Below are 12,556 nucleotides of genomic sequence, written 5' to 3' on the forward strand. Positions count from 1 at the left end.
TCTTCTCTGACTGGCTCCCAAATCAGAGTCATCATCAACAAGACAAAGCCAAAGGCAACTCTGGAGGTGGCAAGTAAAATAAATAAATTTTTTAAGTTCAAGAACTGCCTACTCTGTACTAATCTTCTTCTCTAAGCAACTCTCCTCCAAATCCTGTCAGGTAATGGGGCCAAGTGGCACCCCTTCCTTCAGTAGAAAAATTCACACCACTTTATTCTACTTAAAGGATAAATTACCATTCTCCCAAGAGTTTCTGGTAATATCTAAATACCCCACCCCCCTTTGGGACAAGAATATACTTTCTAAGATGGGTGTCTGCTTTATATTTACCCAAACTCTAAATTCCTCTTTCCCTCTAATAGCCCTATTTCTCCCAGGAAAGCTACCTAGATCTATAACCAATAGCTTCAACCTAAATATTCTTACCTCAGGAGTTTTAAATATAGCCCACACTTATTCACACAAACAAGAAATCTAACCGAGCAATCCCTTGATGGGGGATAACTTCTACATCATGTAGATAACCTCCTTATCTGCTCCCTCTTCTCAGGACTCACACAACAACATGTAATACAAACCATAACTTCCTAACAGAATAAAAGTAGCTCGTCTAATTAAAAGATTACAAAGGTGAAGAGGTATTTATGGTAAGAAATGTTACAAAGAATCTTGTATGGGAAATTCTTGTCCTAAAATAAAATAACTGGTTGCTTAAGAAAAGAGGATGTCTAGGACAAGTTAGAAAGTCCAACAAGTATGTCACTGCCAAAAGCAATCTACATATTCTTTTTCTTTCTTTTCTTTCTTTTTTTTTTTTTGAGATGGAGTCTCATTCCGTCACCGAAGCTGGAATGCAGTGGCACAATCTCGGTTCACTGCAAACTCTGCCTCTTGAGTTCAAGCAATTCTCATGCCTCAGCCTCCTGAGTTGCTGGGATTACAAGAGTGTGCCACCATGTCCAGCTAATTTTTGTATTTTTAGCAGAGACGAGGTTTCATCATGTTGGCCAGGCTGGTTTCGAACTTCTGACCTCAAGTCATCTGCCTGCCTCGGCCTCCCAGAGTGCTGGGATTACAGGCATGAGCCACTGTGCCCAGCTGCAGTCTATATATTTGATGCAATTCTCATCAAAATACCATCATCATTCTTCACAGAACTAGAAAAAACAATCCTAAAATTCATATGGATTTTAAAAAGAGCCCACATAGACAAATCAAGATTAAGCAAAAAGAACAAATCTGGAGGCATAACATTACCTGATTTCAAACTATATCACAAGGCTATAGTTACCAAAACAGCATGGTACTTGTATAAAAATGGGTACATAGACCAATGGAATAGAATAGAGAACCCAGAAATAAAGCCAAATACTTATAGTCAAGTGATCTTTGACAAAGCACACAAAAACATAAAGTGGGGAAATGACATACTATTCAACAAATGGTGTTGGGATAATTGGCAAGCCATATGTAGAAGAATGAAACTTGATCCTCATCTTTTACCTTATACAAAAATAAACTCAAGATGGATCAAAGACTTAAATCTAAGACTTGAAACCATCAAAATACTAGAAGATAACACCGGAAAAACTCTTTTAGACATTGACTTAGGCAAAGACTTCATGACCAAGGACCCAAAAGCAAATGCAACAAAAACAGAGATAAATTGATGGCATTCAATTGAACTAAAAGTCTTCTGCTCAGCAAAAGAAATAGTCAGCAGAGTATACACACAACCCACCAAGTAGGAGAAAATCTTCACAAACTATGGATCCGACAAAGGAGTAATATCCAGAATCTACAAGGAACTCAAACAAATCATCGAAAAAGAAACAAATAATCCCATCAAAAATTGGGCAAAGGATATGAATAGACAGTTCTCAAAAGAAGATATACAAATGGCCAACAAACATATAAAAACATATAAAAAATGTTCAACATCACTATCAGGGAAATGCAAATTAAAACCACAATGCAATACCACCCTACTCCTGCAAGAATGGCCATAATTAAAAGTTAAATAAATAATAGATGTTGGCATGGATGTGAGAAGGGACTACTTTTACACTGCTGGTGGGAATGTAAACTAGTACGACCACTGTGGAAAACAGTATGAAGATTCCTCAGAAAACTAAAAGTCAGACTACCATTTGTTTGAGTTGGAGAATGTATCTTCTTCAATTTTTTGGAAGGGTTTGTGAACAATTGGTTTCAATTGTTTAAATATTTGGTACAATTCACCAGTAAAACCATCTGGTTCTGGGCTTTTCTTTGTGAGCAGCTTTCTGAAGACAAATCCAATCTCTTTACTTCTTATAAGTCTATTCAAATTTCTATTTCTTTTTGAGTCACTTTCAGTAATATGTATTTTTCTAGGAATTTGTCCACTTCATCTAGGTTATCTAATTTGTTGGCATACAAATTTTCATCATATCCTCTTATAATCCTTTTTATTTCTGTAAGCTTCAGATTAACATATTCCCTTTCAGTGCTGATTTTAGTCATCTGAATTTTCCCTTTGATTCTTGATCAGGTTAGCTAAAGCTTTGTCAATTTTGTTGGTCTTTTCAAAGATCCAACTTTGGTTTTGTTGATTTTCTTTATTGTTTGTTGAGTCTCTTTTTAATTTATTTCTGCTTTAATAATTACCCTTTCATTCTTTCTGCTTGCCTTGTGTTTATTTTTCTTTTTTTCTAGTTTCTTAAGGTGGAACACTAGGTTATTAATTTAAGATCATTCTTCTTTTTAATATAGGCATTTACAGCTATAAACTTCCCTCTAAGCAGTGCCTTAGCTGCTTCCCATAAGTTTTTCTAAGTTAGGTTTTTGTTTTCACTCATCTCAAATTATTTTCTAATTTTTCTTGTGATTTCTTCTTTGATCTCCTGTTGTTAAGGAATCTATTGTTTAACTAACACATATTCGTATACATTTTCAAAATTTTATTTTTATTGATTTCTAATTTTATTCCATTGTTTTCAGAGAACATATTTTGTGTGGTTTTAATCCTTTTAACTTCTTTGTTTTTCTTTTAAATTGTAGATAAACAGATATAGATAGACAGTATGCTGGAATGAGGTATTCCTCCTCCCCAGTGTTTGTTCTTGTCTCTATTTGTTTATTTCATAAATTTTCACTACTAATTCTGCAAAATCTTTTTTTTTCCTATGTGTAACCATTGAAGCCTCTGCTTGCTTATCTTAGTGGCCAGCTAAAAATTCAACAAATATTAACTGAAATGCCTAGAACCAATAAGCCTAACAGTCTTCACTGAAGGGCTCTGTGTACATGTTGAAACACGATTTCAACCCTCAGCCAGGCAGTTTACAACTTCATTTTAACCTTTACTTCCTGCTTGTGCAGCACCTTAATGACAGCCAGAGGTGAGAGCTTAGGGCCTCCTCAAGTCTTTTATGAGCATGTGCTCGGCCCTGACCATGGATACAACCCGAAACATGTGAATGGCCCTCTACATTTCCAGGAATATGTAGAAGATTATCAAAGCCCCTATGAGTGTCCCATTTTTTGTTTTTTTGCTTTTATTTTAAACTTTTTGGTTAGTTTAGTGTTTGCACCAACTCTTATCCACACCTCGGATAGTGTGTTGGTAAAACAGTTGCCTCTGTTTCTGATAAACCCCCTGGGAAAGGTCTTTTTGTACTCAGTCAGGTCTTCAGAGGAACAACCAAAGAGGTCATATAATAGCAAATTATCTCTGAATGAGGCTTTGAAGCATCTCAACCCTGTTTTGCCCTATGTAGTTGTTACCACGTTGCTAATTTTCATCATGATAGTGGGCTGTTGGTTTTCAAAAGTACCATGGAACTGGGAAAGAGGAGGTGGGAACACTAAAGATAAAAATGTCGTAAGACTTGTGGCTTGCTGTTCTTATTAAGATTCACCCATTTTTTTTAAATAAATGGTCCCCAGACTGCTGTAAGACTTTAGTTAATGTCTATGTCCAAAAGAGTTGATTCTGACAATTTTAAAACCAGTTTTCTTATTGCATTTATGGAGGATAGAATGTATAGGTGTTCTTACTCCTTCATTTTTACTCCTTCCTTTTTTTCTTTCAGAATGGTTTCCTTTAGTTCTTTGAACATTATTTTTTAATGTACTTTATTTGCACAGCAATTTTATGTTCACAGCAAAATTGAGTGAAAATATAGAGTTTCTATATACTTTGCCCCCACACATGCATACCCTCCTACTTTATCAATATCTCACAACAGAGTGGTTTATCTGTTACAACTGATGAAACTACCTTGGCATCTCATTATCACTAAAAGTCCATAGTTTACATCAGGGTTCACTCTTGGTGTTGTGCATTCTGTGGGCTTTGAAAAATGTATAACATGTATCCACCATCATAGAATTACACAGAGTATTTTCACTGCCCTAAAATCATTTGCACTTCACCTATTCATCCTTCCCTCTCCCTAACCCCTGACACCCACTGATCTTTTTACTGTTTCTGTAGTTTTGTTTTTTCTAGAATGTCATATAGTTGGAATTGTATAGTACGTGACCTTTTTTGGTTGGTTTCTTTCACTTAGTAATATGCATTTAAGGTCCCTCCATGTTTTTTCATTGCTTGATAGCTCATTTCTTTTTGCCTCTGAATAATATTCTATTATGTGGTTGTACCACAGTTTATTTATTCATTTACCTATTGAAGGGATATCTTGGTTGCTTCTAAGTTTTGGCAATTATGAATAAAGCTGCTATAAACATCTGTGTACCTTTTTCTGCACAGACATAAGTTTTTACTCATTTGGCTAAATACCAAGAAGTATGATTCCTGAATTGTATGGTAAGAGTATGTTTAGTTTTGTAAAAAACTGCCAAACTTCTCCATGACTCTCCCATCAATGCCTTCCCCCAAGAGGTAGCAATTGATGACCTCTGTCATCATAGATTTGTTTTGCCTTTTTTGAACTTCATATAAAGGTTATATAAAGTTTATATACAGTAAGTTTGTATATAAACTTTGTATTAAAAGTTTATATACAGTAAGTTTGTATATAAACTTTATATTAAGTTTATATAATGTTTATATACAATATGTTAAACTATAAAGAGGTTATATAAAGTTTATATATAGTATGTTTGTATATAAACTTTGTATAAACTTTATATACAGTATGTCCTCTTTTGTGTTTGGCTTCTTTTCCTCAACATAATATCTGTGAGATTCATCCATGTTACAGTATGCCAAGTTGTATTCCAGTGACCTGGAATAGTCTCCTTTTGATGGACGTTTGGGCTGGCTCCAGTTTTTGCCTATTATGGATAAAGCTACTGGGAATATTCTGATATAGGTATTTTAATGGTCCTGTACACTCATTTTTTTGGGTCTATTTCTAGGAGTGGAATTTCTGAATTATTTAGGTAATTATTTTAGTTTTAACCGATACTGAGGGAGAAGGTTAGTATGGACCGAAGGAGAGAAGGTAGTTGTTACTCACATGCTTTTAAGTTGCTCAGAACTCACCCCAATAACATGTCTAAACTAAGTCACAATCCTACTGTATGAGGTCACTGACCTACCTTAAGGCTAGGTTGGGATTTGTTCAAGAATGGGACATGTACACCAGTGTTCATGGCAGCATTACTCACAATCCTTAAAAGGTGAAAACAACCCATGAGTTCATCAACAATCGAATAGATAAACAAAATGTGATACATACATATAATGGAATATTATTCAACCTTAAGAATGAATGAAGTTCTGAAACATGCTATAACATGGATGAGCCTTAAAAAACAGTAAGCAAGACACAAATGAAAATATTGTATGAGTCCTCTTATATGAAATATCTAGAATAGGTTAATTAATAGAGACAAAAAGTAGAAAAAAGGTTATCAGAGGATGGGGAATGTGGATGGAGAGTTATTGCTTACTGATTAGAATTTCTGTTTGAGATCATGAAAAAGTTCTGGAAATAGAGTGGTGATGATTACACAACATTGTGAATGCACTTAAAGTCACTGAATTGTACATTCAAAATGGTAAATTTTATGCTATGTATAATTTACCACAATAAAAAACATGCTTTGTTAAAAAAAGAATTGTCCATGGTGGTTTAGTGGTTAGGATAATTTCAAAAGAATGAGACAGCAGGTTGGGAAGGTGGATGGGCATCGGTGACTCAAAAAGAAAGGTAGCAGAAGCTGACACCAAGCATACATGAAACAGACCCAAAGGCCTAGAATCCTCAAAGTTATCCAGTCAGTCCCCACCCCCAACAATCTCTAATACTACTTTATTATCTACAGACAATGTCAGAACCCTTATGTGTTCAATGCTTCTGAATTGAAGCTCTTATTTGGGGTGAAAACTACGTGGCCTAAGTGCTTTCTGTTGTCTGGCATAAGATCAGGCAGCATCCAGGTGATTCCACTGTTACCCTGTCCCTGGGGGCACAGTGGCACTTTCGCCTTTTCATTGATGCCCAACAACGCAGATATAAAAATTGGAACAGATGGTGAGGGGGCTTCAAATTTGTTGGCTGGCTCTCAACTCAGGGAAAGCAGCACAGGGAAAGATCTGCTCAACAAAACAAAATGTGATCCCCAGCAGGTCTAAACAAATAAGTGTTCAAAATGTATTTAGTGGCACTGAGCCACCAAAGAAGAGAAGGGACGTCTGACAGCATAGGAGCAGGAAGATACATACTAAATCAAATTATCATTATTATTATGAAGCAAGCCACCAACAAGCTGGAGAATTTGGGGCTCATGCATTTCTTTTATTACTTTTTGTTAGGCAGATTGGCTGGAAAAATGATTTCTCTGGGTAGAATGGGACTACTATGGACTCTTTTTTTATTGTACTTTAAGTTCTAAGATATAGGTGCAGAAGGTGCAGGTTTGTTACATAGGTATGCACTTGCCATGGTGGTTTGCTGCACCCATCAACCTGTCATCTACATTAGGTATTTCTCCTAGTGCTATCCCTCCCCTAGCCCCCCACCTCCTGACAGGCCCCAGTGTGTGATATTCCCATCCCTGTGTCCATGTGTTCTCATTGTTCAACTCCCACTTATAAGTGAGAACATGTGGTGTTTGCTTTTCTGTTCCTGTGTTAGTTTGCTGAGAATGATGGTTTCCAGCTTCATCCATGTCCCTGCAAACAGCAAGAACTCATCCTTTTTTATGGCTGCATAGTATTCCATAGTGTATATGTGCCACATTTTCTTTATCCAGTCTGTCATTGATGGGCATTTGGGTTGGTTCCAAGTCTTTGCTATTGTGAATAGTGCTGCAATAAACATACGTGTGCATATGTCTTTATAGTAAAATGATTTATAATCCTTTGGGTATATGTCCAGTAATGGGATTGCTGGGTCAAATGGTATTTCTGGTTCTAGATCTTTGAGGAATCACCACACTGTCTTCCACAATGGTTGAAATAATTTACACTCCCACCAACAGTGTAAAAGCATTCCTATTTCTCCACATCCTCTCTAGCATCTGTGGTTTCCTGACTTTTTAATAATTGCCATTCTAACTGGTGTGAGATGGTATCTCATTGTGGTTTTGATTTGCATTTCACTAATGACCAGTGATGATGAGCCTTTTTTCATATGTTTCTTGGCTGCACAAATGTCTTCTTTTGAGAAGTGTCTGTTCATATCCTTTGCCCACTTTTTGATGAGGTTGTATGATTTTTTTCTTGTAAGTTTAAGTTCTTTGTTGATTCTGGATATTAGCCCTTTGTCACATGGATAGATTGCAAAAATTTTCTTCCATTCTGTAGGTTGCCAGTTCACTCTGATGGTAGTTTTTTTTTTTTTTTTTTTAATTTTTTTTTTTTTGCTGTGCAGAAGCTCTTTAGTTCAATTAGATCTCATTTGTCAGTTTTGGCTTTTGTTGCCATTGCTTTTTGTGTTTTAGTCATGAAGTCTTTGTCCATTCCTATGTCCTGAAAGGTATTGCCTAGGCTTTTTTCTGGGGTTTTTATGGTTTTAGGTCTTATTTTTACATCTTTAATCCATCTTGAATTAATTTTTATGCAAGGTGTAAGGAAGGGGTCCAGTTTCAGTTTTCTGTATATGGCTAGCCAGTTTTCCCAATACCATTTACTAAATAGAGAACCCTTTCCCATTGCTTGTTTTTGTCAGGTTTGTCAAAGATCAGATGGTTGTAGATGTGTGGCATTATTTCTAAAGCCTCTGTTCTGTTTCATTGGTCTATATATCTGTATTGGTACTAGTACCATGCTGTTTTGGTTACTGTAGGCTTGTAGTATAGTTTGAAGTCAGGTAGCATGGTGCCTCCAGCTTTGTTCTTTTTGCTTAGGATTGTCTTGGCTATGTGGGCACTTTTTTGGTCCATATGAAATTTAAAGTAGTATTTCTAATTCTGTGAAGAAAGTCAGTGGTGGCTTGATGGGGACAGCATTGAATCTATAAATTACTTTGGACAATATGGCCATTTTCACAACTCTTCCTATTCATGAGCCTGGAATATCTTTCCACCTGTTTGTGTCCCCTCTTATTTCCTTGAGCAGTAGTTTGTAATTCTCCTTGAAGAGGTCCTTCACATCACTTGTAAGTTGGATTCCTAGGTATTTTATTCTCTTTGCAGCAATTGTGAATTGGAGTTCACTCATGATTTTGCTCTCTGTCTATAATTGGTGTATAGGAATGCTTGTGATTTTTGCACATTGATTTTCTGTCCTGAGACTTTGCTGAAGTTGCTTATCAGCTTAAGGAGTTTTTGGGCTGAGACGACAAGGTTTTCTAAAAATACAATCCTATCATCTGCAGAGACAATTTGATTTCCTATCTTCCTATTTGAATACGCTTTATTTCTTTTTCTTGCCTGATTGCCCTGGACAGAATTTCCAATACTATTTTGAATAGGAGCAGTGAGAGAGGGCATCCTTATCTTGTGCAGGTTTTCAAAGGGAATGCCTTTAGTTTTTGCCCATTCAGTGTGATATTGGCTGTGGGTTTTTTCAGAAATAGCTCTTATTATTTTGAGATGCATTCCATCAATAGCTAGTTCATTGAGAGTTTTTAGCATGAAGTTGTGTTGAATTTTATCAACAGCCTTTTCTGCATCTATTGAGATAATCATGTGGAATTTGTCATTGGTTTGTTTATGTGATGGACTACATTTATTGATTTGCATATGTTGAACCAGCCTTGCATCCCAGGGATGAAGCCAACTTGATCGTGGTGGATAAGCTTTTTAATGTGTTGCTGGATTCGCTTTTCCAGTATTCTATTGAGGATTTTCACATCGATATTCATCAGGGATCTTGGCCTGAAATTTTCTTTTTTTGTGTGTGCGTCTCTGCCAGGTTTTGGTATCAGTATAATGCTGGCCTCAAAAAATAAGTTAGGGAGCAGTCCCTCTTTTTCTATTGTTTGGAATAGTTTCAGAAGGAATGGTACCAGCTCCTCTTTGTACCTCTGGTAGAATTTGGCTGTGAATCTGTCTGGTCCTGGACTTTTTTTGGTTGGTAGGCTATTAATTACTGCCTCAATTTCAGAAGGTGTTATTGGTTTAGTCAGGGATTCGACTTCTTCCTGGTTTAGTTTTGGGAGGGTGTATGTGTCCAGGAATTTATCCATTTCTTGTAGATTTTCTAGTTCATTTGCATAGATGTGTTTATGGTATTCTCTGATGGTAGTTTGTATTTCTGTGGGATCAATGGTCATATTCCTTTTATCATTTTTTATTGCGTCTATTTGATTCTTCTCTCTTTTCTTCTTTATTATTCTGGCTAGTGGTCTATTTTGTTGATCTTTTCAAAAATCCAGCTCCTGGATTCATTGATTTTTTTGAAGGGTTTTTTGTGTCTCTATCTTCTTCAGTTCTGCTCTGATTTTAGCTATTTCTTGCCTTCTGCTAGCTTTCGAATTTGTTTGCTCTTGCTTCTCTAGTTCTTTTAATTGTGATGTTAGTGTGTCAATTTTAGATCTTTCCTGCTTTCTCTTATGAGCATTTAGTGCTATAAATTTTCCTCTAAACACTGCTTTAATTGTGTCCCAGAGATTCTGGTACATTGTGTCTTTGTTCTCATGTGTTTCAAAGAACTTACTTAGATCTGCCTTAACTTTGTTATTTCCCCTGTAGTCATTCAGGGACAGGTTGTTCAGTTTCTATGTAGTTGTGTGGTTTTGAGTGAGTTTCTTAATCCTGAGTTCTAATTTTATTGCACTGTGATCTGAGATACTGTTATGATTTCCGTTTTTTTCATTTGCTAAGGAGTGCTTTATTTCCAATTATGTGGTCAATTTTAGAATAAGTGTGATGTGACGCTGTGAAGGATGTATAGTCTGTTGGTTGGGGGTGGAGAGTTCTGTAAATGTGTATTAGTTCTGCTTGGTCCAGAGCTGAGTTCAAGTCCTGGATATGCTTGTTAATTTTCTGTCTCGTTGATCTGTCTAATATTGACAGTGGTGTGTTAAAGTCTCCCACTATCATTATGTGGGAGTCTAAGTCTCTTTGTAGGTCTCCAAGAACTTGCTGTATGAATCTGTGTGCTCCTGTATTGGGTGCATATATATTTAGGATAGTTAGCTCTTCTTGTTACATTGATCCCTTTACCATAATATAATGCCCTTCTTTGTCTCTTTTGATCTTTGTTGGTTTCAAGTCTGTTTTATCAGAGACTAGGATTGCAACCCCTGCTATTTTTTGCTTTCCATTTGCTTTGGAAATATTATTCCATCTCTTTATTTTGAGCCTATATGTGTCTTTGCAAGTGAGATGAGTCTCCTGAATCAGCACATTGATGGGTCTCCTCTCTTTAACCAATTTACCAGGCTGTGTCTTTTAATTGGGGTGTTTAGCCTGTTTACATTTAAGGTTAATATTGTTATGTGTGAAGTTGATCCTGTCATTATGATGCTAGCTGGTTATTTTGGCCATTAGTTGATGAAGTTTCTTCATAGTGTCAATGGTCTTTTCAATTTGGTATGTTTTTGTGGTGGCTGGTACTGGTTTTTCCTTTCCATGTTTAGTGCTACCTTCAGGAGTTCTTGTAAGGCAGGCCTGGTGGTGAAAAAGTCTCTCAGCTTTTATTTTTCCTTCGTTTATGAAGCTTAGTTTGGCTGGATATGAAATTCTGGGTTGAAAATTCTTTTCTTTAAGAATGTTGAATATTAACCCCCACTCTCTTCTGGCTTGTAGGGTTTTTTCCAGAGACATCCGCTGTTAGTCTGATTAACTTCCTTTTGTGGGTAACCCGACCTTTCTCTCTGGCTGCCCTTAACATTTTTTCCTTCATTTCGACCTTGGTGAATCTGATGAGATTATGTGTCTTGGGGTTGCTCTCTCGATGAATATCATTGAGGTGCTCTCTGTATTTCCTGAATTTGAATGTTGGCCTGTCTTGCTAGCATGGGGAAGTTCTTCTGGATAATATCCTGAAGAGTGTTTTCCAACTTGTTTTCATTCTCCCCATCATTTTCATGTACACCCATCAAACGTAGGTTTGGTCTTTTCACATAGTCCCATATTTCTTGGAGGCTTTGTTCGTGCCTTTTCATTTTTTTTCTCTAATTTTGTCTTCACGCTTTATTTAATTAAGCTGATTTCAATCTCTGATATCTTTTTTTCTGCTTTATCAATTCGGCTATTGATACTTGTGTATGCTTCACAAAGTTCTTGTGCTGTGTTTTTCAGGTCCATCTGGTTATTTATGTTCTTTAAATTGGTTATTCTAGTTAGCAATTCATCTAACTTTTTTTCAAGGATCTTAGCTTCCTTGCATTGGATTAGACCATGCTCCTTTAGCTTTGAAGAGTTTGTTGTTACCCACCTTCTGAAGCCTACTTCTGTCAATTCATCAAACTCATTCTCCATCCAGTTTTGTTTCCTTGCTGGCAAGGAGTTGTAATTCTTTGGAGGAAAAAGGGCATTTTTGGAATTTTCAGCCTGTTTGCGTGGGTTTCTCCCCATCTTCGTGGATTTATCTACCTTTGGTCTTTGATGTTGGTGACTTTTGGATGGGGTTTCTGTGTGGATGCCCTTTTTGTTGATGTTGATGTTATTCCTTTCTGTTTGTTAGTTTTCCTTCTAATAGTCAGGCCCCTCTGCTGCAGGTCTGCTGGAGTTTGCTGGAGGTCCACTCCAGACCCTGTTTGCCTGGGTGTCACCAGTGGAGGCTGCAGAACAGCAAAGATTGCTGCCTGTTCCTTCTTCTGGAAGCTTTGTCCCAGAGGGGCACCTGCCAGATACCAGCCGGAGCTCTCCTGTATGTGGTGTCTGTCAACCCCTCCCAGTCAGGAGGCACAGAGGTCAGGGATCCACTTGAGGAGCCAGTCTGTCCCTTAGCAGAGCTGGAGCGCTGTGCTGGGAGATTCGCTGCTCTCTTCAGTGCTGGCATGCAGAAGTGTTTGAGTCTGCTGAAGTTGTGCCCACAGCTGCCCCTTTCCCCAGGTGCTCTGTCCTAGGGAGTTGGGAGTTTTATCTATAAGCCCCTGACTGGGGCTGCTGCCTTATTTTTCAGAGATGCCCTGCCCAGAGAAGAGGAATCTAGAGAGGCAGTCTGGCTTCAGAGGATTTTCTGAGCTGTGGAAGGCTGTGCCCAGTT

The sequence above is a fragment of the Homo sapiens genome, chromosome X (genome assembly GCF_000001405.40).
Source record: "Homo sapiens chromosome X, GRCh38.p14 Primary Assembly".
NCBI classification, from domain to species: Eukaryota; Metazoa; Chordata; class Mammalia; order Primates; family Hominidae; genus Homo; species Homo sapiens.